This window comes from Homo sapiens, chromosome 22 (assembly GCF_000001405.40).
Source record: "Homo sapiens chromosome 22, GRCh38.p14 Primary Assembly".
Classification (NCBI taxonomy): Eukaryota; Metazoa; Chordata; class Mammalia; order Primates; family Hominidae; genus Homo; species Homo sapiens.
In genome coordinates, this window is record NC_000022.11 from 37,307,071 (window position 1) to 37,333,122 (window position 26,052).

At 55.4% G+C, this 26,052-nt stretch overlaps 1 protein-coding gene and 1 long non-coding RNA gene across 5 annotated transcripts in view, besides 11 other annotated features; one reads left to right on the plus strand and one right to left on the minus strand.

Annotated features, from left to right (window-relative positions):
- Positions 1-60: an enhancer, noted in NCBI's record as "active region_18967". NCBI's record gives its function as "activates an Ori minimal core promoter by ATAC-STARR-seq in GM12878 lymphoblastoid cells {active_cell/tissue: GM12878}" and the evidence as "EXISTENCE:reporter gene assay evidence [ECO:0000049][PMID:35858748]".
- CYTH4 (cytohesin 4) overlaps positions 1-8,271 on the plus strand; it is a 32,834-nt gene extending 24,563 nt beyond the window's left edge. For both annotated transcript variants that reach the window (NM_001318024.2, NM_013385.5), the window contains exons 9-13: positions 2,142-2,253; positions 3,918-3,994; positions 4,386-4,457; positions 4,950-5,104; positions 6,369-8,271. In NM_001318024.2, coding sequence (NP_001304953.1) covers positions 2,142-2,253; positions 3,918-3,994; positions 4,386-4,457; positions 4,950-5,104; positions 6,369-6,441 — 489 coding nt within the window. In that variant the 3' untranslated portion in view covers positions 6,442-8,271. The remainder of the gene's footprint in view (positions 1-2,141; positions 2,254-3,917; positions 3,995-4,385; positions 4,458-4,949; positions 5,105-6,368) is intronic.
- Positions 221-450: an enhancer, noted in NCBI's record as "active region_18968". NCBI's record gives its function as "activates an Ori minimal core promoter by ATAC-STARR-seq in GM12878 lymphoblastoid cells {active_cell/tissue: GM12878}" and the evidence as "EXISTENCE:reporter gene assay evidence [ECO:0000049][PMID:35858748]".
- Positions 2,082-2,663: an enhancer, noted in NCBI's record as "H3K4me1 hESC enhancer chr22:37705193-37705774 (GRCh37/hg19 assembly coordinates)". NCBI's record gives its function as "activates a minimal SCP1, AML or CMV promoter by ChIP-STARR-seq in naive H9 embryonic stem cells {active_cell/tissue: H9 hESC(naive)}" and the evidence as "EXISTENCE:reporter gene assay evidence [ECO:0000049][PMID:30033119]".
- Positions 2,493-2,552: an enhancer, noted in NCBI's record as "active region_18969". NCBI's record gives its function as "activates an Ori minimal core promoter by ATAC-STARR-seq in GM12878 lymphoblastoid cells {active_cell/tissue: GM12878}" and the evidence as "EXISTENCE:reporter gene assay evidence [ECO:0000049][PMID:35858748]".
- Positions 2,773-3,042: an enhancer, noted in NCBI's record as "active region_18970". NCBI's record gives its function as "activates an Ori minimal core promoter by ATAC-STARR-seq in GM12878 lymphoblastoid cells {active_cell/tissue: GM12878}" and the evidence as "EXISTENCE:reporter gene assay evidence [ECO:0000049][PMID:35858748]".
- On the minus strand, positions 3,551-25,066 carry LOC105373024 (uncharacterized). Of its 3 annotated transcripts, XR_938232.3 has the most exons (4): positions 24,823-25,066; positions 10,322-10,435; positions 5,523-5,633; positions 3,551-4,507 (listed from the first exon to the last, which is right to left on the minus strand). It is a non-coding gene; the product is annotated as an uncharacterized LOC105373024 (long non-coding RNA). The 3 variants fall into 3 exon arrangements; XR_938231.2 differs by lacking the exon at positions 5,523-5,633 and having other exon boundaries at positions 24,823-25,056; XR_938234.3 differs by lacking the exons at positions 3,551-4,507; positions 5,523-5,633 and adding an exon at positions 9,327-10,122.
- Positions 4,014-5,213: an enhancer, noted in NCBI's record as "CDK7 strongly-dependent group 2 enhancer chr22:37707125-37708324 (GRCh37/hg19 assembly coordinates)". NCBI's record gives its function as "activates an origin of replication core promoter dependent on BRD2, BRD4, P300/CBP, MED14 and CDK7 cofactors, with strong dependence on CDK7, by STARR-seq in HCT116 cells {active_cell/tissue: HCT116}" and the evidence as "EXISTENCE:reporter gene assay evidence [ECO:0000049][PMID:35650434]".
- Positions 4,169-4,378: an enhancer, noted in NCBI's record as "active region_18971". NCBI's record gives its function as "activates an Ori minimal core promoter by ATAC-STARR-seq in GM12878 lymphoblastoid cells {active_cell/tissue: GM12878}" and the evidence as "EXISTENCE:reporter gene assay evidence [ECO:0000049][PMID:35858748]".
- Positions 10,864-11,721: an enhancer, noted in NCBI's record as "H3K4me1 hESC enhancer chr22:37713975-37714832 (GRCh37/hg19 assembly coordinates)". NCBI's record gives its function as "activates a minimal SCP1, AML or CMV promoter by ChIP-STARR-seq in primed H9 embryonic stem cells {active_cell/tissue: H9 hESC(primed)}" and the evidence as "EXISTENCE:reporter gene assay evidence [ECO:0000049][PMID:30033119]".
- Positions 20,247-21,446: an enhancer, noted in NCBI's record as "P300/CBP strongly-dependent group 1 enhancer chr22:37723358-37724557 (GRCh37/hg19 assembly coordinates)". NCBI's record gives its function as "activates an origin of replication core promoter dependent on BRD2, BRD4, P300/CBP, MED14 and CDK7 cofactors, with strong dependence on P300/CBP, by STARR-seq in HCT116 cells {active_cell/tissue: HCT116}" and the evidence as "EXISTENCE:reporter gene assay evidence [ECO:0000049][PMID:35650434]".
- Positions 21,894-22,539: an enhancer, noted in NCBI's record as "H3K27ac-H3K4me1 hESC enhancer chr22:37725005-37725650 (GRCh37/hg19 assembly coordinates)". NCBI's record gives its function as "activates a minimal SCP1, AML or CMV promoter by ChIP-STARR-seq in naive H9 embryonic stem cells {active_cell/tissue: H9 hESC(naive)}" and the evidence as "EXISTENCE:reporter gene assay evidence [ECO:0000049][PMID:30033119]".
- Positions 23,438-23,732: a silencer, noted in NCBI's record as "tiled region #3535; HepG2 Repressive DNase matched - State 12:CtcfO". NCBI's record gives its function as "represses a minimal TATA promoter and a strong SV40 promoter by Sharpr-MPRA in HepG2 cells {active_cell/tissue: HepG2}" and the evidence as "EXISTENCE:reporter gene assay evidence [ECO:0000049][PMID:27701403]".
- Positions 25,067-26,052: the final 986 nt, after the last annotated feature.

Below are 26,052 nucleotides of genomic sequence, written 5' to 3' on the forward strand. Positions count from 1 at the left end.
ACAGAGCCAGCAGGGCCACCGGAAGGAGGCCCTTGCATTTCTGCACATCCACCCAGCCAGGAGGAGACAGCTAGGCCCAGGGGTTGCGGCAGTGCGTGCAAGGCGTTTTCTTGCAGGAGAGGCTGGTGTTTACAGGGGACAGGAAATGTGGGTGAACTCAGCCGTTTTCTTTGCGGGGGCAGAATGTACAGGCTGATACAGTGACCGCAGAAGCTGCTGGGTCCCCCTGTGGGTTTTGTGGCAGTGAAGACCCCCGTCTGCCCCCCTGCACAGCTCCTTGGGCTTCCAAATATTTGTCTGTGCTGACAGCTTTGTTGATGGGGCCTTCCTGTTCCAGGCGCTTGTTCAACCAGCCAGTGCCACCTGGGAATTCCCGGGGATGCACGTAGGGGCTTCCCAGAGAGAAACTGGTGCCTGCTCTTCCCCACCCCCATAGCCCCACAGCCAGATTGAGCCCAGGGAAGCCACTCCCAGCCCACCCCTGACTCTGGACCCCTGAGCTCTGAGGTCAGAAAGGACCTTAAAGAACCAGCAAGCTCCATTTCTAAAACTTTGAGAGAGTCAAATGATACTTGTGAGAATTTTCACTTAAAATCTCGAAGAAAGCATCTGAACAGAAACATCTGAGCAACAGCACACACAAACACAGCGAAAGGAAATGATTTCATCCTCTGAGATAACACTGCGCTTGCTTTGAATAAGCAGAAATGGACAGTTTAGAATAGTTCTCCAAACACTTGGCAATCTAGGCAGGTTGCTCATAGAACGCAATATCTCATGGCAGGAGATTCAAAGCACACAGGGGTGATCTGGCACCAGCAGCCACACCTTGCCCACAGGGAACTCGCAGACCTGGCTTACTTACCTCCAGTGACAAAGAGCTCATTATCCTACAGGGCTGCTCTCCCACGTCACCAGCTCTGACTGCCAGAAAGGCTTCCGTGGAGAACGGCAGTCTGCTTTCTGGGAACTCCCCAGACCCCACCCCGGCCCATCCAGCATAGGTCTGCTTAGGAGAGGGGCTTTTGAGAGCCACAGCCAGCATCCCACCCTGGGCTCTCCCTCAGCTGGGCCTCTCAACAGGAAGTGGCCTATCCTCCTCCCTGGTGGCTCCTCAGGGGCCCCTCAACTCAGGGACCTCTCTGCTGCTGCACCTAAGCAGGAGAGGACCCTCCTCCCATGGCTTTTGCCAAGGTTGCTGTGCCCCAGAGACAGAGAGACAGAAAGAGAATACGTGTGTTTGTGTGTGTCTGTGTCTGTGTGTGTAAGCATGCATGTGTGTGTGGGCATGCATGTATATATGTGTGCATGTATATTGTCAGTGTGCATGCATGTATAAGAGTGCATGTATATGCACGCAAGCGTGCATGTGTGTGAGTGTGCATGTATATAAGTGTGTGTGTATGTGTGTACGTGTGCATGTGTGTACATGTATGTGTGAGCGTGTGTATATGTGTCTGTGAGTGTGTGTATGTGTGTAAGTGTGCGTGTGTATACATGTATGTGTGAGCGTGTATATGTGTCTGAGTGTGCATGTATGTGTGCATAAGCATGCATGTCTGTGTGAGTATGCATGTATGTGTGCATATATGTGTGAGCGTGCTTGCATGTGTAAGTATGCATGTATGTGTGAGCATGCATGTGTGTGTGCGTGTATGTATGAGTATGCATGCATGTGTGTGCATGTATGTGTGAGCGTGCCTGCATGTGTGTATGTGTGTGAACATGCATGTGTGTGCATGTATGTGTGAGCATGCATTTATATAAGTGTGCCTGCATGTGTGTGAACGTGCATACATGTGCGTGTGTGTGCACGTGTGTGTGTGTAAGCATGTATATTTGTATATATGTGTGTTTGAGGGGCTGACCCCTGCTCGCTCTGCCCTGCAGTAGCACAGAGGGAAGCATGACCGGGGTGGCGGGGTGGCGGGGTGGCAGGGTGGCAAGACCAGGCCCAGGCTGAATGGAGGGAACCAGGGAGGGGCTCACCAAGAAAAGCCCAGGGACCACGATAAACAGGTGAGGAAAGAGTATGCCTGCAGGTGAGTGACCTGCTCAAGGCCACACAGGCCAGGCCAGGCCTAGGCCTTGGACTCGGGTGGACTCACAGCCAGGTCTTTCTCTCCCTTGTCTTGGGGCAGAACCTCTTCGACAGCATCAAGAGTGAGCCATTCTCCATCCCTGAGGACGACGGCAATGACCTCACTCACACCTTCTTCAATCCAGACCGGGAGGGTTGGCTGCTCAAGCTAGGTGAGAGACCGACAGACACACGTCGTCGCACACACACTCATGCACGCGCGGGCACACATCGTTGCATGCACACTCCTGGACGCACAGGCCCCCAGCTGACACGAGGCTCACATGCATCCTGGGGGATGGAGTTGGACAGCCCCAGGTCTCCTGGCCCCCAGTGCAGCCGTCTGCCTGCCCCATCCATCCACCTGTCCCGAGAAGGAAGGGAGCCAGTGGTGGGGGCTGAGCTGTAAGCCGGGCGAGAGGCAGACAGACCCACTGACAAATGCTTCAGCTGCGGTTCTGTTTCTCTCTCCCCAGCGGAATGGGGAGGGAAGTCATAGCAGGAAGTACCATTTGTTCAGAACCTACTGAGCTCAGGCAAGGTGCTGGTCCACCCTACAGCCGAACAGTAAAGTCAGGGATCTGCCTGAGGCCACACAGCCAGCCAGGGGCAGATTTGAGGGCACAGAGGGTTAGGTGTCCCTAAAGGAGGGGAGGAAGGATGACAGGATGTGGCTTAGGGGGAGGCTCCCTTCAAGCTGACTGGGGGCAGGGAGGGCCTGCACCCTGCAGAGAGCAGCTGGGGTGGGAGCTGCAGTAATAGTGGCTGTAGAGTCCAGCAGGGCAACCCCAGTGCCCGGCCGTCTGCCCCTGCCTCCCACACACACTTCCGGAAGCCTCTCCAGCAGGGACAGCCAAGCCGGGGACAGCGCCTCCAGGGCAGGTGAGGACAGATGCCTCATGTTGAAGCAGGGGTCTCAACCTGGCTCACCTCCAGCAACATTGAGCCTCCAGCACCTCCTGTCTACCAAGCCCCGTGCCAGTCCTGCCCAGAACCCCCAGGAGCCCATGAGCCCTCTGACTCTCCACACCACACCCCAGTCCATCCTCCTCCAGAGCACTCGGCCGCCTGTCCTGCCCCAGCCACGTGCTGTCCGCCCCCGAGAAGCTCTATGTCATAAATCTTAACTCAGATGGGAGAGGGAGCCTCAGAGTCACATAGCCCTGGGCCCAAACCCCAGCTCCTCCACCCAAGTACTGATGGTCAGGTTCTTCAGCCTCAGTTTCTGTAGCTGTAAGATGGGGAGAATGATCTCTGGGAGGGTTAAATGTGCGGCAAAATGGCCAAGAGTTGGGCTCTGGGACTAGGACATTGGGGTTCGAATCCCAGCTCTGCTGCTGAACCGTGGGCAGGCGATTTTACCTCTCCATGACTGTTTCCTCATCTGTAAAATGGGGTTAACAATGGTCTCCTCTTCATACGTGGTTGTGAGGATTAATAAGTAATATTTTTTGAAACCTCTAGAGCAGTGTCTGGCAAATGAAGGACGAAATGCTTAGCATTGTGCCAGGCAGGGACCAAGCTAAGGAATGAAGCAATGGATGGCGGTAGCCAGGAAGAGCAGGAACTGGCCATTCCTAGGACCATTCCTAGGACCTGATCACGGAGGCCACCCAAACGCCAGCTCAAGCAGCTCCAGGGAAGCCTGGGGATTACAGGAGCCACTAAGGTTCTTGTTTGAGAAAGGGATAGATGTTGGGGGGAGGTGTGGTGGACGAAGTTTAGGGCACTCAGCTGGGGGTCCAGGGGAAAGCATCCGAGGACCTGCCCTTCCCTGGAGGAGGTGTCAGTGGCCCAGGAGGAGGACTGACCAGCTTGCTACATTGGCCTTGCGCAGGGGGCCGCGTGAAGACGTGGAAACGGCGCTGGTTCATCCTGACCGACAACTGCCTCTACTACTTCGAGTTCACCACTGTGAGCAGGGTTCTCCTGGGCCTTCCCCTGCCCCCGCCTCTCCCCGCACAACCCACTTCCCAACTCCCACTGAGCAGTCGACTCACACAGCTTTGGATCCTTTGAGATCATTCAGTCCCCCTCCATGCCCATTTTACAGATGGGGAAAACGGGTACACAGAGGAGGGCCGGGCCAAGGTCCTAGGCAGAGCCCAGGCTTAAAGCTGGGCCTCCTAAGTTCCGGCCAGAGGTCTTCACATGCTGCTTCTAACTTCCGTCCCCCTATGACTGGACAGTCTCGGAAGATGAGCACGCTCCTCTTTGAGTTTGGGGAACCCCACACGTTCACACCCTGCCTTGGGCCTCAGGGTTCCGCTTCCTGACCCTGACCTTCCTTCCCCTTTCCCTGTAGGACAAGGAGCCACGGGGAATTATACCTCTTGAGAACCTCTCGGTGCAGAAGGTGGATGACCCCAAGAAGCCAGTAGGTGTTCAGGTTGCAGGATCCCGAGGCTGGAGCCACTGGGAAATTTCCTAAACAGAACGTGGGGAGAGGGCCTGAGGCTGGGCTCTCCAGGAAGCCAGGCTGTGCCCCTTACACCTTCCCTGTGGCTCAGGGCTGCCTTCTCTCCCTCCTGGGGCCATGGACAGTGAGAAAAGGTCAATGTGGGTCCAAGGACGTGGTTGTCCCCTGTTGTCCCACACAGCCCGACTGGCTGGATGGCCCCGAGTAAGCTCCACTCCATTCAGAACCTCAGTGAGCCCACATGTCACGTGGGGACTTTAGGGAGGATGGTGGATTCAGGAGCCTGCCACAGAGAGAGTGCTCAGTGTGGGAGCAGCAGCTCCTGCCCCTTCGCCTGTCGTAGGGCTGTCACGCTGATCAGGGACACTAGCGTCTGGGCTTCTCTGAGCCTCCTGGAGGGCCCACCCAGCCTCCCTCTCTTCCCACCCTTGCCTGGCCACCTCCCCACAGTTCTGCCTGGAGCTCTACAACCCTAGCTGCCGAGGCCAGAAAATCAAGGCCTGCAAGACCGATGGCGACGGCAGGGTGGTGGAGGGCAAGCACGAATCGTACCGCATCTCAGCCACCAGTGCCGAGGAACGTGACCAGTGGATCGAGTCCATCCGGTAAGGGGTGCCCAGGTCTGGGGACGGCTTCCCGTCACCTTCCAGAAGGCCCTGCTTCTTTTGGGTCTTGCTTCCTTATCTGTAAAGGGGCTAACTCCAGTCTCTCCCTCCTGTTTCTGGCTGGCAAACCCCTTCCACCCGTATTCCATGGGTACTTTCTGTGTGCCTGGCACCAGGCCAGGCCCCAGGACACAGGGAAAGGAGAGACCACCTGCATGGGGTTGGTGGGAGAATAGAGCAAAGAGTTGCACATAAAGTTCTTGCCCCGCCCTTGCCTGGCACGTGGTGAGTGCTCTTGTTGGCATCACTATCCAAAGTGGCCTGGGAAGGACCTGGTGGAGGTGGAGGGAAGGGCTTTCCAGATAAACTTCCAGGTAAAAGGACCCGGACCCATGTGGGCAACCAGCAGGCGGCCTACCTGCACAGCATCCCGGAGTCCGAGTGAGGCTAAGCAGTGTGGGAGCTGAAACTGCTGAGCATGACAAAGCCACAGCCACCGTGGTGAAGAGCTTCAGTTTCTCCTGGGGCACTGGGGAGCCATAGACTCATAAATAGGGAGGGGTGGCTGGGTGAGGAAAGCCAAAGTGTAGGGACTGGTTCTGTGGTGCCACCAACAGGAGAGACATGAGGAAGATGCATCTGGTAAAGGGCAAGATGGCAAGCCTGCTCAAGGCTTGACTCTGAGCCAGCCCAAGATATTGGCAAGGGTGAGGCCTGGTGGCCAGAGGAAGGCTGAAGTGGTTGCTGGGCAGGGGCCGTGTCCCGGGGACTTGCAGGGTCTTTTCCCCTGGGCCTTGTGAGCCTGTGAGGCTGCCAGGCAGACCCATTCTCACCTCCATCTTACACATGAGGAAACTGAGGCCCAGAGATGGGAGGGACCTGCCCAGGCCACAGAACCAGGGACAGAGCAGGGTCCAACAGGCAGGTCTGCCAGCTCCACCCCAAGCTCTTCCCATCACCTTCCGAAGGTCGCCAGTGGGAGCCTGGAGAGGGGCCCAGAGACATTTGGGAGTAGAATTCCCAAGGCTCTCAGCTCCTGATCGGAGGCCTCACCCACTCTGGCCCTGCCCATGGGACACTGGGTTAGGCTTACAAGTCTGGACTTACCCTGGCACAGCCTTTGTTGGGGCCATCTGGCCTTTCCCCCGCGGCAGAGCAGGCTGACACCTCCCTGGGAATCCCATGCCCCTGATACAAGCCCTGGGAGAGCAGACCACCTTGACGGCCAGTCCAGCCCTGAAATCTCTCCTCCCACTCATTCTAGAGCCAGCATCACCCGTGTCCCCTTCTACGACCTGGTCTCTACTCGGAAGAAGAAGATTGCCAGCAAGCAGTGAGATTCCTGGAGGTGGCACTGGGGGCTGGTCACCCTGAGAGTCCCATCGCCTGCAGCACCTGGAGACCCACCTCCCACCCCAGTGCACTCTTTTGGGCCACAGACATCATTGCTGTTCCCCGTTACCTCGAGCTGACTCTAGAGGGGAAGGCAGAGCTCAGGAGGGTGGGTGGGAGCTGCAGTGGGCTCAGAGTCCAGCAATGAGGCCCCCTGGCCTGGGCACCCAGCTGCAGGCCCCTGCCCTACGTGCACTACAGGAAGGGGTGAGGAGAGCAGCCAGAGGAAAACCAGCCCCAGAATGCTGCAACTTCTCTTCTCTCTGGACTTCGGTGTCCTCGGCTCTGAAGGCGCTCTCTGCACTTAGATGCTGTCAGCCCTCAACGTAGGAGGGGCCGTGGGGTCCCTAAGTGATTCTTCTCCCTGGCAAGGCTCTTCCTTTTCAGGGATATCTCTGCCAACCCCTCCCCTGTCCTCGGGTTGGGCTTGGCCCTCTCTGCCTGAGAGAGCTCAGCACACACACAGCTCAGACCCACGGACAGGACCCCGGGACAGAACCCCGGGAGCACTGCCCTAGGAGCCCGGACCCCACGAGCTCAGTCCCAGCTCTGCCTCTGACTCGCTGTGTGCCCTCTGCCAAGTCATGCCCATTCTCTAGTTCTTGCAAAACTGCAGTGTTTGGACTAGAAACGTATTGGCCCCTGCTAGCCCTGTGCTCCAGCTTCCAGCTGGAGATGGCAGCCGTTGTTTGCGGAGCCCAGGCTGACTCCGGATTCAACGTTGCTGGGGAGAGAAAAGCAGTATAGACTCCACCTTCCAGGATGTCCATTTCGGGGAGAGGAGCAGGTGGGACCCTCAAGAAAATGACGGAGAACATCCCAGACAGATGGGACTCAAGCAGGATGGGTGCTATATCCAAGAAGCCAAGAAGGGAGAGTTTCGTGCACTGTGGTTAACAGGAGGGCTGCCTGGAGGCAGTGGCTGAGCCAGAAAGTAACACAGAGCTCATGCTTGGAGAGAGAGAGTCTTGGCCATGGCTTTCCTGCAAGACCACTGACGAGCAGTCCCATGGTGATAAAGGGCAGCCCGGCGGGTCCCAGCATCTCGAGACCCTCTGCAGAAGTATTATCAGAGTAGAGCTGACTTCCAGTACCCGGGCAGCCAGCTCTGTCTCCAGGGAGGCCTGGCCTGGAGGAGGAGTCCACTAACAGGAAACACTTCTCACCCCCTCACACAGGCCCAGGGGAGCCCCTGGAGGGAAATTCCTTGGCAGGGGAACAGGAAATGTGGCCGCCTCTGCCCCACTGCCAGCCTGAGTGGGCAAGGAAGCAGGTGGATCCCCCAGAAGGAACCGCAGCTCGCGAGGCACCTCTCCTCGTCCCCACCCACCCCCACATTTGCACACCTTCCACAGGGTCAGGATGGAGTAGCTGCCTTGCGAGGTGGTGAGACTCCTGTCTCTGGAGGTCTGCAAGCACTGGTAGTGATATTGCAGCAGACAAGGTCTGGGTTGGGCGTCTGCAGGAGGACACCTTGTGGGACATCTGAGGACATCCGCAGATTCTTGTCAGCCTGTGAACTAGGCCCTGCCTCTGTCACCTCATTGGTCCATGAAGGAGCAGCCAGGGGTGGTGGAAGGAGCACTGGGCTAGGGGTCAGGGGTCAGAGATTCTGTCCTGCTCCTGGGATGCACTGGCTACTCCCTTAGTCTACTCCCTTCCCCTCTCTGGTCCTCAGCTTCCTCCATCATGGAGGAGATGGGATCATGGATTTTCTGGGCATAAGTGGCTGTTCTGGGAGTCATTCCAAAGAGAGAATAAAACTCCTGATCCAACTCGTGAGTGGGCTCTGTCCTCTCTGTGACTGCGGCTGCCACCTTGACCCCACCGGGCCCTCCACCTCCGTCCCTTTCCCAGTGGAGGGCAGGAGGGCCAGGCAGGGAGGCTGGTCACTCAGAGGGCCCTACGACCCCATCCCCGGAACACTGGCACAGGAGCCATCCCCAGGGGCTGGACAGCCAATGGGGCTTCCACAGAGCAGGTGCAGGCAAGCTGGTTCTGACAAGCCCAGGGAAAGGCAAAAGGACTTTCCAGCAGGCAATGCTGTCTAACGATAGAAAGAGCCGCTGCCGGTCAGGCGTGGTGGCTCACGCCTGTAATCCCAACACTCTGGGAGGCCGACGTGGGAGGATCACTTGAGGTCAGGAGTTCGAGACCAGCCTGGCCAACATGGTGAAATCCCGTCTCTATTAAAAATACAAAAATTAGCTGGGCGTGGTGGTGGGTGCCTATAGTCCCAGCTACTCAGGAGGCTGAGGCAGGAGAATTGCTTGAACCTGGGAGGCGGAGGTGTCATTGAGCCCAGATGGTGCCACTGCACTCCAGCCTGGGTGACAGAGCAAGACTCCATCTCAAAAGAAAAAAAGAGCCAGGCGTGGTGGCTCACGCCTGTAATCCCAGCACTTTGGGAGGCTAAGGCGGGCAGATCACCTGAAGTTAGGAGTTCGAGACCAGGCTGGCCAACCTGGTGAGACCCCCCGTCTAAAAATACAAAAAATTAGCCAGGCGTGGTGGTGCAAGCCTGTAATCCCAGCTACTTGGGAGGCTGAGGCAGGAAAATTGCTTGAATCTGGGAGGTAGAGGTTGCAGTGAGCCGAGATCATGCCACTGCACTCTAGCCTGGGCAACAGAGTGAGACTCTGTCTCAAAATAAAAAGAAAGGAAGGAAGGAAGGAGCGGGGAGGGAGAGAGACAGACAGACAGACAGACAGAAAGAGAGAGAGAGAAAGAGCCTGCTGCCACGGGAGGTGAGTAGAATGTTCCCCGTTGCTGGAGGAGTGCAAGCACTGCTGCTCCAAGGATCACTTGGTGGGTAACGGAGGAGCTTGAATTCAATAACCTTCATTTATTTGTACATCCCACAAATGTTTATGGAGCACCTACGTTGTGCCAGGCACTGTCCCAGACACTGGTACAACAAGGCCGAATCCCTGCCTGCATGGGGCTCACATCCCTGCAGTACTGAACACACGCTGTTCCAGAGGACGCAGAGCAGGCAGTGGAGGGCTGGGCTGGGCTGGGCTGGGCAGAGGGCAATCCGGGGAGGCTTCTCTGAGGAGGGTGCTCAAGTATTGGCAGCCAGGCTGGGGACAGGACACGCACCTGATAATGCAGTGAGCTCACTTCATGTCTGCCCCACACTGAACTGTGAGCTCCTTGTGGGCCAGACCTTGCACATACTCAGAGTGCCCAGCACACAATAGGTGCACAATAACTGCTAGTTCACCTGAAGTTAACTGATAAAAGGCCCTCTGGGTCTCAGCATCAGCAGGTGCAAATGTCCAGAGGCCTAGAGAGCTATGAGAACGTTGGTGCCTCCAGGAGATGCAGGAGTACCTGGAGAGGCCACATCACAAGCCAGGAGCATGGAGAGCTGGGCTCTGACTCACTGGCCCCCTGAGTCTCTCCAGGGCATGTCTGCTCACCTTCCTGCCATTCTGCCACTCCTCACTCTGGTCAGCAGGGGGCTCCCACCACACGTGGATAAGAGGTTTCAACGCTGCAGTCAGAATGGCTGGACTGGCTGCACAGGGCTGGACAGGGCTGGACGGGGCTGGACAGGGCTGACTGGCTGTCCCTTGCAGGGACGGGGTCTCTGTCCGGAGTAGAGCCCTGGCCTGGACGTCCTAAAGGGGGAGACATCTGGTCTATCAGGGCCCAAGGGCTCGAGCAGCCCAGTAGACACCCATGGACACAAACAAGCATGGGCCTCCCCGCCACTCGTGCTGGGCACAGTCACCCCTGCTGGGGCTGGCATTGGGCCTGGCACTGGGAGATTCGCGCACTCTTGCTTTCTGGCTGTGGGGCCCCGAACGAGTTGCTTACCCTCTCTGGTTGGAATTTTCCTCCCTGAGAGGTTGGGCCAGGTGAGTTCCATGATGCAAACCTTGAAGGGAGACTTCCACATGCAACAGGCACCGCTGCAACACAGCTCCTGCCCTGGAAGGGATGGCGGGGGAGGAAGATGAGCAGGTACCACGAAAGCCATTACTGTGTCAGGGCACGGGGCGGGGGGGTGACGTAGCCGTCAGAGCCACCCAGAGGGCCATGGTGAAGGCTCACCTCTACCCTGTGCCTTAAGCAGGTTTCCTAAGCTCTCTGAGCCTCAGGTTTCCCATCTATAAAATGGAAATAATTAAATATATGTAAAATGCTAACAACAGCGTTAGGCAGCTCCTGGGACGTTACATGCTACTATTATTATGGTCACAAGGCAGACTGTGGGCATGCATTCATGGAGCTACAAAAACATGGAATTGGGGCCATTTGAGGGGGAAAGATTCATGTGGGCAGTGGGGTAGTGGGGGAGATCTGGGAAGACTTCTTGGAAGAGGTGTGCTCAGGAAAGATAAGCCAAGTGGAGGTCTGAGCCTTCCAGCCAGTGGGGCCAGTAGGAGACAGGACAAGGAGGGCAGGTCGAGGCAAGGTATTTCTGGAACTCCCCTGGGCCCCAAACACAAGCCCCAGTGAGTCAAAAGAATGCAAGGTTGAGGGAGGCTGGGTGCTGGCTGGGACTGAGCTGCGTGCACAGTGCAGGATCCTTGCAGCTCTGGGGCTGCAGCTTTGGCCGCATGAAGCTCTGAGGGGGCATTCAGTAATGTGGCTGCTGAACGGAGACATCCCAGCCTGAGGGAGGACTAGCTTGGCACAGAAGGCTCTGGGTTGGAATAGGCCAGGGCAGCGGGGCTTGGAGAAGGCAGAGTGGGCCCCTGCCAGGTACCTGGGGAGGAGGAGCCCCTCCATCTTGAAGCCTGGCACACAGAGCTGCCAGGGGACAGGAGATGGGGGCAGGCAGCCCGAGTCGAGTGGCAGGTATGAAAGACCTGGAGAAATTGATTTATTAGGGACATAAAAGGAGCTAAATATGTTTGCCGGCTCAGTGATGACTCAGGCCTTCCCCAGGGGTCTGCAAGTGTGAGCATCAAAGACAGGCCTGCTCCCACCAGGACACTGCAGGCTCCAGACCCTCCTTCCCTTCAATGGGAGGACCACCTCCTACCCCAAGTGTCCTGAGAGCCTGGCCTCTGAGGGGCACCAGAGACCCAGCCACTCACTCCTGCATGCCTCCCAACTCTCCAGACTGCACCCAGAATGGCTGAAGAATGAAGCCAGAGAGTGACACACATCTGGGTCAAAATCCTGGCCTTGCCCCAAACTGCCATGTGATCCTGGCCCAGTGGGGACCCTCTCTGGACCGTCCCCGCGAGCCAGCCCCACCTCCCTCCCTGTCTGGCAATGTTGTCCCATCCCTTTTGGCTTCTTCCTGACAGCACAGCCTCCTCTGCCCAAGATCCAACAACCACCCTCCAGGAGAAAAGCCAGACTCCACAGGGCCTCTTTGGGGAGAACATGCTCTTCCCGTGGTGGTTCCAGGCCGGGCGCTGGGCTCTGGAGAAACGTGGGCGAATCTGGTCTGCAGGCAGGGCCGGCGGAGGAGGATGAAGTGACCTCGCTATGGGGACAGCGTTGGGAGCGACGGTAAGGATGAGGGAAGAGGGGCTGTGGGGCCTGGGGAGACTGGAGCACGGAGCCCCCACACAGGAGTTTGGCACATTTGAGAAGCGGTGAATTCTTTGGTGGGCCTGGAGGAGGCCTGCCTAGAACAGCTGGACTTGGAATGCAACAGAAGCGGAGACACACTGGCCAGCCTGCGTGGGTGACTTTACCAGGACGGTGACGGGGAGCCAGGAAAGGGTTCAAAGCAGGAGAGAGACGGCTGGAAGCCGTCTGGGGATAGCCCCTAGGATCGACCACTCAAGGGATGGATTAAGGAGGCTAGGTGGGCCACAGGGGGCTGGAGGAGGTGAGGGAGGAACAGAGCGGTCGCTGGACAGGAGGAAAGAGGCTTGATGGGCCTCCGGGGCTAAGACTTGTGGGAGGTGACAGCATTCCCCGAAACAGCCCAGCGAAGGGCAGGTGTGGGGAAGGAGTCGGGCGGAGGGGAGGTGAACAGGTCACACTGCGTCAGAGGGGCAGCAGGACCTCCCCGTGGACACCTTCAGCTGCGAGTTAGACAAGAGTCCTGGGCTCAGCAGAAAGCCCTTCCCACCTCCTCTTCCGCACCCTCTCACCCTCTTATCTCCTCCTCCTCTCCCCACTCCCACCTCTCCCACTTGCCCCTCCCTCCCCTGTCTGCCCGATTCCGCCCCCTCCCCTTTCTTGGCCATTTAGTCTTGGCTCAGTGGTGTGTACTGGCAGGCACCTGGGTCCTGGGGTCCACCTGCAGGCCTGGGTTCCAATCCCAGTGTGTGGGTTCTTAACAGCACGTGACCCTCAAAAGTAACCCACAAAGACCCAGGTTTGCCCTGGACACCCCGGCCCACCCCCACCATGCCCAGCATCAGTATGTCATGGCCAAAGCCGCCAACCATGGAGCACTCGCTAAGGCCAGCGCCTCCCACTACATGCTGTCTTCCAACCTTCCAGCACTCCCTAAGCAGGCGTGACTATCCCCATTTTACAGAGAAGGGCCCTCAGGCGCACTCTGGCCCAGCCAAGAAGGACCTGAGCCGGCATGGAACCAGCGCCATCTGATCTGAAACCTGTGTCAGGGCGACCACAAACTCATCATCCATAATAGCCCTTCCTATGAGTGCTGGAATCTGGATTCCAGGGGACGCCAGGACAACAGGCAGAAACCAGGACTGCTCCAGGCACCCCAAGACATAGGGTCACGGTAGAGATCAGACATATCCACAAGGTGCAGCAAGGAACTGGGGTCATTCTGGGTGGCCCTGTGGACTGGAAGAGTTGTGCCCCGTGGCTGCTTTATCCTGGAGAAGGAAAGGACAGCTGTTTCCTCCGGAGCAGATGGGGTTCAGCCACCAATTCACCCAGCGAACTTTTCTCCACGGTGAGTCTCCCCAAGTCCTACCCCAAAGTGGCACCGTGTGGACTGACACTGGATTGGGTAAACCTGGTCTACTGCACGCCGTCAGCAGATATTAGCTGTCACTGTTATATTCTTGATGGAGTCTCCCTCGAGAGGGCTGAGTTCAAGGACTCTGAACAGGACAGAACCATGGAAGGCAATGGGGGCTGTCCATGCCATCCTGCCAGCTCTCCTCCTGCAGGAAGCCCTCCCTGACCACCCCTGTCCCCGGGGCTACTTTAAGACTCCAGAGGTTTCACCATTTGGCTTTTGGTGGGCTGGCTTCGTGGTCTGGGGTTGCCAGGCTCAAAGTTTTTGTTCGGCTGCTGAACACCAAGGCCTACAAGCCCTCTCCTTTTCCATCCCTCTCAGCTTCTGTACGGGGGCCTCCAGCCCCATCCAGAAATGCCCTGGCCTAAAAAAGCACCCTGCCTGTTCTTCCATGATGAAATCAAAGGTCACAGACATTCAGGCACACGCCCTAAGTCACCCAGCACGGAGGCTCCATGAAGAAGACCGAGGCAGAAGGCGCCGGCATTTGTAGAACATACTTCATCTCATCTGATCCTCCCAGGAGCCCACAAGGTAAACAGGATTATTCCCATTTAACAGATGAGGACGTGGAGGCTCAGAGAGCTTGTGACTTGCCCAGAGTCACACGACCAGGAACAGGCATCTGATCCAATTGCTAAGGCCAGGAGGAGCCACCAGCTAGAAGGCTCCAGCAGAAGGGCAGGATTAATTCTGTGACCTTTCCAGTCCCTGTGATCCTTTGAGGCTAAAGCTTAACTCTTCTCTTTCTCCCTCCCCCAAGGGATTTTCAGTTCATAAATAAGAGCCCAGAGGGGACCAACCTTTGATCCAAAGAAATGATTTTTTCAGAAAATGTCCCCCATTTAAAAATTAATAAAACATGCTCATTGCAGAAAATTGGAAAGCGCAATGAAGAGGAAGAAAAACTTAGACCAAAAAACAAATGAGATCATGTCCTCTGTTGCAACACGGCTAGAGCTGGAGGCCATTATCCTAAGCAAACGAACATAGACAGGAGCAGAAAACCAAATACCGCATGTTCTCACGTATAAGTGGAAGCTAAATAATGAGGACACATGAATACTAGGAGAGGGACAACAGACACTGGGGCCTTCTGGAGGGTGGACAGTGGGAGGACGGAGAGGATTAGAAAAAAATACCTGGTGGGTATTATGCTTATTACCTGGGTGACAAAATTATCCGTATACCAAACTCACATGGCAGTTTATCTATATAACAAACCTGCACATGTATCCCAATCCTAAAAGTTAAAAAAAAACCTAGACCAAGAATTCCTCTACCTGATAATTTTGTAAACATTTCAGAATATTTCCAACACACCTGTTATGTCTCTGCAATGATACTGCAAATGCAGTTTTGTAACCTTAAGCCAATTTTTTTTTTTTTTCTGGAGACAGATTCTCGCTCTGTCCCTGAGGCTAGAGTGCAGTGGCACAATCTCAGCTCACTGCAACCTCCTCCTCCCAGGTTCAAGCGATTCTCCTGCCTCAGCCTCCCGAGTAGCTGGGATTACAGGCATGCACCACCACACCCGGCTAATTTTTGTATTTTTAGTAGAGGCGGGGTTTCACCATGTTGCCCAGGCTGGTCTCGAACTCCTGACCTCAAGTGATCTGCACGCCTCGGCCTTCCCAAAGTACTGAGATTGCAGGTGTGAGGCACCATGCCCGGCCTAACACTTAAGCCTTAAAACTATGAAATCCGGATGTCCACGTGTATACCAGCCAGGACAGGTTAGGTTACACTGTGGCAACAAATATCCCCAAATCTCAGTGGCTTCACACACCACAAGAGGTTATGTCTTGCTCACACCCTATGCCCTGGGATTGCAGGGTAGGGATCGGCATGGAGTCTCTGCTTATCATAGTCACTCAGGGACCTAGGCTGAGGAGGTGCCATCCTGGCATGAATTGCCAGGAGCGCTGTCTGGATGTGACATGCCACTTCCGCTCACATTGCATTGGCCAAAACATGTCACATAGCTACCTCACTGCAAGGCCAGATGAAATACCATCCTACCACCGGCCATGCAACATGGGAGGACAGTAATACTTGGGGTGTGGCACTAGTGCCGATTATAGCTAGGGTGACCAATTGTCCCCATTTTCTCAGGACCAAGGAGTTTTCCAAAATGCCGGCCTTCTTGTGCTAAAATTGGGAAAGTCCTGGGCAACCCAGGAGGACTTGTCTGCTCCTATTGTACCACGTTGTGCGGTCTTTACACACTCACTTTTCAAAACTGCACAGCAGCCATCTTTTAGATGAACCAAGGTTTCTCTCCCCAGTCCCCTATTGCTGGAGACTCAGACTGTTTCCAGTATTCCATGTTTATAAATACATTGTCTTAAATACCTCCATGGATAAAACCATGTCTACTTCTCAGTGGCTTCTCAGAGGTGCCATTGGTGGCCGTTTACAGGCTCACAATACCTGTTATCCATAGGTAATTCAAAAAGGTTGAAACAATACAATTTGCCTTCTGCAGCGAAAGCACGTACCTGCTTTCCTTACCTTCTCCTGGAGCCCAGAGCAGTCATTCTCTAATTGTAGCCTCCAGCTCACCTGGAGAGCTCCTTAAAACAGATTGCTGGTCCCTAGCGCCAGAGTTTCTGATCCACGGGGGCTGGGATGAAGCCTAACCTTTGCGTTTTTGTGTGTGTGGTTTGTTTGTGGGTTTTTTTGTTGTTTGTTTGTTTGTTTGTTTTGATGGAGTCTCGCTCTGTTGCCCAGACTGGAGTGCAGTGGTGCAATCTCGGCTCACTGCAAACTCCAGCTCCCGGGTTCAAGCGATTCTCCTGCCTCAGCCTCCTGAATAGCTGGGATTACAGGCGTGTGCCACCACACCTGGCTAAGTTTGTATTTTTAGTAGAGACCGGGTTTCTCCATATAGGTCAGGCTGGTCTTGAACTCCCGACCTCAGGTCATCCACCTGCCTCAGCCTCCCAAAGTGCTGGGATTACAGGCATGAGCCACCGCGCCCGGCCAGATGCCACCACTTTGCCACCGAACAGGTGACCCTGCTCAGCTACTCACCAGAGGTCTAACCTGGAGCAAATTATGCAATTAGCCTCTCTTAGCCTAGGTTCCTATCTGTGAATTGGAGCAGTTGGGAGGATGGACTACCAGGGTAACCATGAGTTCAGTTAAAAATAGTTACAGTTATTCAGCGGTAAATTAAATAACTTTATGTTTTAAAATATTTGTGAGTTTGAATGGAACTGCATTGATTAACATTTGTATTCCTTTCATATCTGAGTGGGAATGGACTTTCTCCCTGTGAGGGTTAAGCATTTGTGTTTCCTTTCTAGTGTGAATCATCGCTCCTGCCCTTTGCCCATTCACCTGCAGGTTTCTCTGCCTTTCCTCTCCGTCTGCCTGGGATCATTACAGAGCAAAGATAAACCCCCATGGCCGTTCTTGATTGCTAGAGATTTTTCCAAAGCTGTTGCTCACCTGTCTGCTGGGGCCATTTTTCTGGCTTACAAAGTGGCCGAATCCATCTGACTTTCCCATTTTTATTTTCTCTATCACTTTTAAGCTTAGATTGGAGCCCTTCTCCAGAATGTGACAATATAAAGGAAATGGATTTTGAATGATGAGATTTCCTGCACCTTGAGGGGTGGTGGGGGTGGGGGATCCTGGCTCAACTCAAACCCTGTGGTGGTGATAGAAGGCATAGTCAGAAACCAAGAGCCCCTCAGCACCAGGACAACCCACCACCCTCAGCTCTCCTCGACATTAGCCACGCTGTCTCTCTCCCCATTTGCAGAGTCCCCCCGCAGAGAGGCACAGGGCAGGCCAGAGCTGGATGCGCGGCTGGAAGGTCAAAGGCATCATCCTCAGGTTGGAGACAGGATGACCGAAGGTGTAAGAACTGGCCAGAGGAGTTGGACAACTCCCAGCTCAGGTCTCTCCTCGACTGCTTTGGCCGTGTGAGCTTTGCCTCTCTGGGTCTCTGTTGTCTCATCCATAAAATGGGCCTGACCATGCCCAAGTCAACGGAAGGATTTAAATAGATCAGCGCCCTGAGGTCGGTGCTGGACGCCGAGTACACGCGCCCAGTACACAGGGCTTGAGCTCATTACACGCCCCAGTTCTGTTCCTGGGGTGGTGGCGTGAACCCCACTGCCTTTGCCTTTAATTGCACTGAAAATATCCAGCACCGCTGATATCAAGGGCCCAGGTCCCGGCGGAAATGAACTCCCAGACTTGGGCGCCCAGGTTTCCGTGCGCGACCCCAGCCCCTCCGGCTGCAGCTCAGCCCATCGGCCCTGCGCGGGAACAGTGTCACCCGGGCACCCGGGCCAGAACAGGCCACGCGTGTCCCAGGAGCGCGGGAAGCTCCCACGCCCCCTCCCCCGCACCGCTCCTTTGGCTGGCAGAGCGGGTCCTCAGCGCGTCTCAGCCGCACCAAGCGCCTCCCGCTCCCGCGCCACCCGGGCGCGCTGCTGGGGCCTGATTTCCATAATAATCAGCCAGAGATCTCCCGAAAAGGCTGGGAGCGGCCGCCGCCGCCCACCGGGGAAGCTCCCGAGGGTGGGCGCCCCCCTTCCCACCCTCCCTGCCGCCGCCGGGAGGGAGCCTCGTTTTTAAAAGCTTTCGAGAAACCGTCCGTGCGCAGGAGGCAGCTGGGAGACACCCAGGATGTCGTTCTCCGCATTAAGGAGGGGGACGGCGGTGGGGGAGGTGGGAGAGGCCGCGGCGCAGGTGTAGACCAGGCTCAGAGGCAAGGAGGGGAGGAGGGAAACTGAGGCAGCCGCGGGGTGGGGAGACGTTTCAAGGTATATTCTCACTGCAGCCTCACGGCGACCCTGCGGGTGAGTTATCTGCTATGCCCCACTTTACAGGTGGGGAAACTGAGGCCTAGAGAGGTTTCCAGTCTTCCAAGCTGGCAAGTGGCTGGGCGGGGACCCTTTTCCGAGTTGGGGGATTCAGATCCCCTGGCCTGCCCGGCACACTGCCTCCTGCCCAAAATGGGCAGCGTAGAAGCAGGATGCTCTGTGCATCCCAAGATGGGAGAACCAACCCGAAAGGGAAAGACCAGGGGGCTGAGGTCCGGCACACACTTGGAGCTGATCTGGTCCAGAAGCCCGTGGGCTCGCAGAACCTAGTTTGAACCCCAGCTCTGCCACCTCCCAACCATCCCCCAAGGGGTGGGCAAACTACAGCCCCTAGGCCAAATCCTGTCAAACTGTTATGGTACAACCAGAAACCAAGCATGTTTTTTTTTCTTTTTTTTCTCTTTTTCTTTTTCTTTCTTTCTTTTTTTTTTTTTTTTTTTTTTTTTTTTTTTAGATGGAGTTTTCGCTCTTGTTGCCCAGGCTGGAGTGCAGTGGTGCGATCTCGGCTCACTGCAGCCCCTCCCTCCTGGGTTCAAACAAGTTTCCTGCCTCAGCCTCCCAAGCAGCTGGGACTACAGGCACGGGCCACCACACCCGGCTAATTTTTTTGTATTTTCAGTACAGATGGGGTTTCACCATATTGGCCAGGCTGGTCTCAACCTCCTGACCTCAGGTGATCCACCCTCCTCGGCCTCCCAAAGTGCTGGGATTACAGACATGAGCCACTGCACCCGGCTAGGTTTTTTCTATTTCTGAAGATAAAAAAAAAAATTCCTGACATGTGAAAATTATATGAAATTTGAATTTCCATGTTCATCCACTTTTTTAATTAAAATACAGCCACACCCACTTATTTCTGGTACTGTCTATGGCTGCTTTCCCTCTACGGTGGCACCGTTGAATAGTTTTGACCAAGAAGCATGGCTCGTAAAGTCAAAAATATTTACTATGTAGCCTTTTCCAGAAAAGCTTTGCCCATCCCTGCAATAATGGGGCAACGATGAAGCCTCTACGCCTCGGTTTTCTCACCTGGACAGATGGGAATGCCATTAAGTGAGGATGAAGTGAAGGCTGGGAAAGCCCTGAGCACAGTTGGCAGCACCCATCTTAGAAATGCCTTTGACCGGCCCGGTGCAGTGGCTCACGCCTGTAATCCCAGCACTCTGGGAGGCCGAGGCAGACGGATCCCCTGAGATCAGGAATCCAAGACCAGCCTGAGCAACATGGAGAAACCCCATCTCTACTAAAAATACAAAATTAGCCAGGAGTGGTGGCGCATGCCTGTAATCCCAGCTACTCGGGAGGCTGAGGCAGGAGAATCGCTTTAACCCAGGAGGCAGAAGTTGCAGTGAGCTGAGATTGTGTCACTGCACTCCAGCCTGGGTAACAGAGTGAGACTCCGTCTAAAAAAAAAAAAAAAAGAAAGAAAGAAAGAAAAAGAAATGCCTTTGACTTTTGCCAAGCCCCTGCTGCTTGCTGCCTCCCCATCCCGAATCACGGCTACCTGGGTGGATGCACTTTGAACTCAAGATATTCATCCCCTGCCCCCATTCATCCTGCTTGTCCTCACTCCAAGCTTATCAACCTGGCCTCCAGCCACCCTCTCCCGTCAGTGACCCAGCCTGACCGGTTCCACCTCCAGCACCCAGCACAATCCCTGCCCCACACTGGTTCTTAGCAAACATTTTCTTTCTCTTTTTTTGAGACGGAGTTTCACTCTTGTTGCCCAGGCTGGGGTGCAATGGCGCAATCTCAGCTTACTGCAACCTCTGCCTCCTGGATTCAAGCAATTCTCCTACCTCAGCCTCCCAAGTAGCTGGGATTACAGGCATGCGCCACCATGCCCGGCTGATTTTGTATTTTTAGTAAAGATAGGGTTTCACCATGTTGGTCAGCCTGGTCTCGAACTCCTAACCTCAGGTGATCTGCCCACCTCGGCCTCCCAAAGTGCTGGGATTACAGGTATGAGCCACCGCACCCGGCCTCAGCAAACATTTTCTAGATGGATGGATGGATGGGTGGATATTTTGCAGTCTTTCTCCATTCCTTCAACTCTAGCCTCCATCATCTCCTTCCAGGTCTCCCTGCTCCCCCCTTCATTTCATCCCCGACTCTGTAGCCAGGGTCACCTGCCTCCTCCCTGGATCCCCAGTGCAGCACAGGTGCTGAGCCACCCCCCTCCACCAAACACCCAAACTGCTAGCACTTCCCTGAGCCCAGCAGGTTGTATCAAGCCTCCAGATGTTTGCCCATTCAGTTTTCTCTGCCTGGAACCTTCTTTATTCCCAGTCCAATGGGCTTTGCATCCTCTACTTGACCCCCAAGACTTAGTTCAGGACCAAAGCCTTTGAAGCCATTCCAGGTCTCTCCCCCTTCTCCCACTGCCCCAGTATACAAACCTATCTCGGTACCAGTGGGACTTTGGTACCTTTATGAATATGCATGAGTTTCTCCTGGTGAGCCTGTGAGCCTCTTGAGGGCCAGAACTGTGACTAGTATTTCTTTTCTTTTTTCTTTCTTTTTTTTTTTTTTTAAGACAGAGTCTCTCTCTGTTGCCCATGCTGGAGTGCAGTGGCACAATCATGGCTCACTGCAACCTCCACCTCAAGCGATTTTTCTGCCTCAGCCTCCCAAGTAGCTAGGATTACAGGCGCCCACCACCACACGCGGCCAATTTTTGTATTTTTAGTAGAGATGGGGTTTCACCATACTGGCCAGGCTGGTCTTGAATTCCTGACCTCAAGTGATCCACCCACCTCGGCCTCCCAAAGTTCTAGGATTACAGGTGTGAGCCACCGCATCCGGCCTATGACTAGTATTTCTGAATCACCAGTCCCAGCAAAGGCATGCCGCGGAGAAGACAATAAATTTTTAATAAATGAGTCAACGGAGGAAGGAAGGAATTAATATAGCTGGGATCATCTCCCTCCCTGGCTCAACAACTTTCAGATGCTTCCCAGGTTCTCTCTGTCAAGGCCCAGCCTGGTCTTCAAGTCTTGAAGCCCTATATGAAATGGCTCTGGTTCACCCCCGCAACCTTGTCTCAAGCTGCATCTCCCATACAGTCTTCCCGAAGCAGTCCTGGCCTCCAAGCCTCCATTCATGCAGTTCCCCCTCCCTGTTTCTCCTCCTTAGCCTACCCACATTTGTGCCTGTGGGGGCCCTGGCCATCCTTGGAGATCTTACAGGGCTTCAGCAATCCAGGGGCACCTGCAGTAGGGACCAGCTACCCCATTTCCCAAATCCCACAGCAGAAGGCAGTGAGCAGGGGCTTTGACCAGGAGGACCTGGGTCCCAAATGAATCCTGCCAATGTTTACTATGGAGATGTCAATTCGGCTCTTGGAGTAAAGAGGAAGAGTCCCTTTTACTTGTCTCCTGGGGCTGCTGTGAGGTTAGAGATACTGTAACCTCTCTAGCGCACAGTAGGTACTCAATAATGGACAGCTATTTCCAGCCTGTACACAACACTTCTGTCCTTCTGAGAGGAGGCTCAGAGAGCAGACCTACAGCTCCCCGCAACCTGCAGCCCCAACCTCTCTCTCTCTCTCCCTCTTTCTCTCTCTCTCCCTCTCTCTCTCTCTCTCCCTCTCTCTCTTCCCCTCTCTCTCTCTCTCTCCCTCTCTCTCTCTCTCCCTCTCTCTCTCTCTCTCTCTCTCCCTCTCTCTCTCTCCCTCTCTCTCTCTCCCTCTCTCTCTCCCTCTCTCTCTCTCTCCTCCTCTCTCTCTCTCTCTCCCTCTCTCTCTCCCTCTCTCTCTCTCTCTCTCTCTCTCTCTCTCTCCCTCTCTCTCTCTCTCTCTCCCTCTCTCTCTCTCTCTCCCTCTCTCTCTCTCTCTCCCCCTCACCCCCGACAGTGCCTGCAGCCACCGACTGATGCTGGCGTGGACAGAATGACAATGAGGCCAGGACCTAAGCGAGCCCATCTGGGAACCTAAGACTGTGGCAGAGGCTCAGATGAAGCCAGGGCTTGGGAGGGGCTAGACAGGGACGGGGCAGGCAGGCAGGGCAGAGCAGGGATAGGAGCAGGGCAGTGATCTGCCACTGACTGTACAGCTGGGTGTCAGCTTTCCCTTCTGCCCAATGGGTGAATCATTCCCCCTCTCAGGTCTTGTCCTGAGTACCAAGGGCCAAGTGAGAGTTTGGGATGAAGAGGGACAGAGCCAGGCAGGGCAGGAGCCAGGGAGCAGGGCAGCGGCAGGGTGGGACCAGGGGATGGGGTTCACGATGGAGATGGGGCTGGGGCAGGGACCAGTCAGATTTCTGATTCAGAGCAATTCAGATTGCTTGGGCAATCAATCGGACAAAATCACCCCCAGGGCAGGAAAAGAGACAGTGAGAATATTGTTGGAGGGGGTGGTGCGTGCAGGGAAGAAGGAAGAGGGAGAGAAAGAAGAAAGAAGGAATCTGAGAAGAGACCGTGGAGGGGACGGGGAGAAACCATCCCCTGCTGGAGTCCTGGAGGCAGCCCCACTGGTGCCAGCCTTCTCCTTTGGCCGGTGGGACCTCTGTGGCCAGAGGGCCAGGGACTCACCCAGGCCCCAGTGAGGGGGAGGCAGAATGGACAGAATAGGTGGGAAGACGGGCATGGGAAAGGGGTAAAAGGGGAGGTAGGGTGTGGTTGGCACAGGCCTGCATAGCTAACAATCAGAGAGACGGCCGCCCCTCCTTTTCGAGTCCACATCACAGGTGGAGGGGCCAACTCTTGCCACACGGCCAGCTCATTCCACCTCATTGCCTTTGCCCAAGCCAGTGCCCTGCCTGGGGTGCCTTTATTTCCCTACCCTCACCCCAAACATTTAATCCTCCTCCCTAATTCCTCCAACATTCACCCCAGCCCTGATCTCCCTCAGCAATGACTGTCTCACCCTCACCCTCAGAGCTTGGTGTGAGCGGGGTTACAGTCTGGTGGTCCAAGGATGCTTGCTGGTGTCCCATAAATGTGCTTAGTCCTCACAAGCAGCATGGACGAGCATCACAGCCTGGTGGTTAGGCTCACAGGCTTGGGACTCCACTGGGCCAGGTTCTAGTCCCAGCAGCTTCGTTTTCACATAGTAGTTGCTTCATAAATGCTAGGTCCCCTCCTCCTGTTCCATTGCTAGCTCAGAATGTGCACACAGCAGGTGCCCAGTGGTGGCTTCTGGGCTGAGGTGCCCTTCTGTTCCCTAGTGGGCCCCTTGTCCCTGACAGGACACAAAGATGTCACCCCTGCCTTGGCCTCCAGGCCCAAGCCTGAGCAGTGAAGCTTGGGAGAAAGGCCCCATTGCTCATTCCCCTTGAGTCTGCAGCTTGGGCAATCAATCGGTCGCCATGGAAACCAGCCTTCCAATCAGAAGCAGGCACTTCTTGGCTGCGCCAGCGCCACCTACCCACCCACTCAGGCCTGGCTGTGCGGTCCCTCACCTAGGACTGCCAGGGGTTGGGGGCGGGGAGGAGAAAAGGGAAACTGGCATAATTGGGGCACACCTGCTTCTATCCCTAAAGCCCTGAGAGTCTCCAAAGAAAGAGCATTTTCTTGGGGTGGGGGTCACTACTTCAGTGGCCCCCTGATTTTTACAGCATTCATTCCTACAGAGTATGGCCCTTGGTACTCAGAACAAAACCTGAGGGGAGGGAATGATTCACCCATTGGGCAGAAGGGAAAGCTGAGACCCAGCTGTAGGGTCAGTGGCAAAGCTAGGTGCATGCCCCCTCCCTGAGCCCCCATCTCCTTCCCCCTCCTCCCTGGCCTGAGGAATGGGACAGGGAAAGGAGGGGCAGAAGAGTTCCTGGCCCACTGCAGCCAGCACCTGCCTTCCCACTAAATCTACGCCTGGCACTTCCAGGGCCCATTAGCGCCGGGCCCACCAGGGCCCATTAGCCAGCATCTATGGGCCTCTGCACCCACCTGCCCACCCACGCCCAGCTGCAGCCTCCCGCCCAGGCCCCTCCTTCCCCCACTGCCAGCTGGGATTGGACAGAGCCCAGGCTCTGAGTCACACAACCCCACGTTCAACAACTGGCTCCTCGCTGCTGAGACTAAGCAAGCCAGGAAACCTCTCTGAGCCTCAGTTTCTCTGTTTGGAAAATGGAAAGAATTACTCCTGCCTTACAAGGGAGTGATGAGGACTCAGAGTGCATAAAGAGCTTAACACAGGGCCTGGTATGGACTCAGTAAAAGGGAGGCCACCTTCCCCATCCCTGTTCCCTCTCAGTACCCAAAACTGTCCCTTGGAGCTGAGCTAAGGCATCCACCTGCCAGGAGAAGGTAGAAGACAAATTCTACTATTCTTAATAACCAGCCCAGGAAAGCAAATTACAAATAAGATTTAGAGAAGGGCAGCAACTTGCCCCCTACCCCAACACTGGGAGGGATGGGTAGGATTTGAACCCAGGTCTGTCTGACTCAGACCTGAGCTGTCTCTGCTGCAGCCCAGCCTCTCCCGACCCTGACCCAGCCCTGCTCCAGCCAGCCAAAGCCTGTCACCCTGGGCCACTAGTGCCCAGCTCTGCACTGACAGAGCACCTGCTATGAACTTGGCATGCCAGGTGCCCACCACCACATACAGCACCCCCAGCACTTACAGGGCTGCAGAAGGGAAGTCGAAGGGATGTTGAGTCATGCTGGGGGATCTGACCTGGTTGAGGATGCTGGGGAGACTTCTGGAAGGAAGGCGGAGGCTAGACCAGCTCCCAGCCACCACACAGCTGGTGCTGCCGCCTGCTGTTTGAAGCTTTTGCCCTCTCGGCCTAGAAGTCTCCCATTATGGTGCTGTGTCTGCTGGGACCCACGGGGCGCTGCACAGGGAACCATGTGGCCGTGAACCTCAAGTCCAGCCCAGCAGGGGTCAATTGTCTCAGCCCACCCCTCCCTACCCCCAGTATCCTCTCTCCTTTATAGATCATCCATTAAGTGCCAGACACTGCAGAAGGCACATTGACTAATATTAAATATTAGCCCAGCTACCCTGCTGGGCTGTCCTTCTTAGAAATGAGGAAGTGGAGGGTTAAGTGGATTTCTCAAGGTCGTGCAGCTGGTAAATGGCAGAACCAGGATTTGAACTCAGGTGTGCATGACTTCAAAGGAAGACACCACTGAGGCCTCCTCTACTGGGTCTGCCTCCCTACCGCCCCTGGCTCCTTGATGAAGACTCCTGTAGGACAGGATGGAGCAACTTGCTTCCAGCTATTATGAGATTTCTGCTTCTCCCTTCTCTCCTCCAGAAAACAAATTGATTCATCAAATTACACCTTTAATCTGTCCTAGGGAAGGGGAGGAATGGGACTCAGCCCCCACAGCAGGAAGCAGGACGGGTAATCAGCCCACCCGTCCTCCCCAGCTCAGGCACAGCCACCCATGCTCTATCCTCCTGTGATTAAACACTAATTGCCGCTATGCTCTCAAATTGAGTATTTCAATTTCCAGAAACGCAAAGTACATTTCAATCAGTTCCTCTCCCAAACCGTTCCTTCTCAGGAGCCAGGACAAGAACATAAGCCCCCCAAGGCCATAGACAGCTAAGCCTCACTCCTGTACTCCTGCCGTCCCTCTCCCCCGCAACCACCGCTTCTCTCCTTCCCGGGTACCCCGTGGGGGAGCTGTGGGCACTCGAAGTGTGTGGGAGCATCCAAGAGACCCTACAATTGTCAGCTCAGAAAAGTGAGGCAGGCCCCCCCAACCCTGGGGTCAGACAAGGGGATGGGGACTGTCCACTAGAGGCAGGGTCCAGGCTGCCTGCTCCTCACCTGCCCCCGACCTTCTCCCTGCACACGGTCATTAGACGCTCATCCCAGCCTTCGGAGTGGACAGAGGCT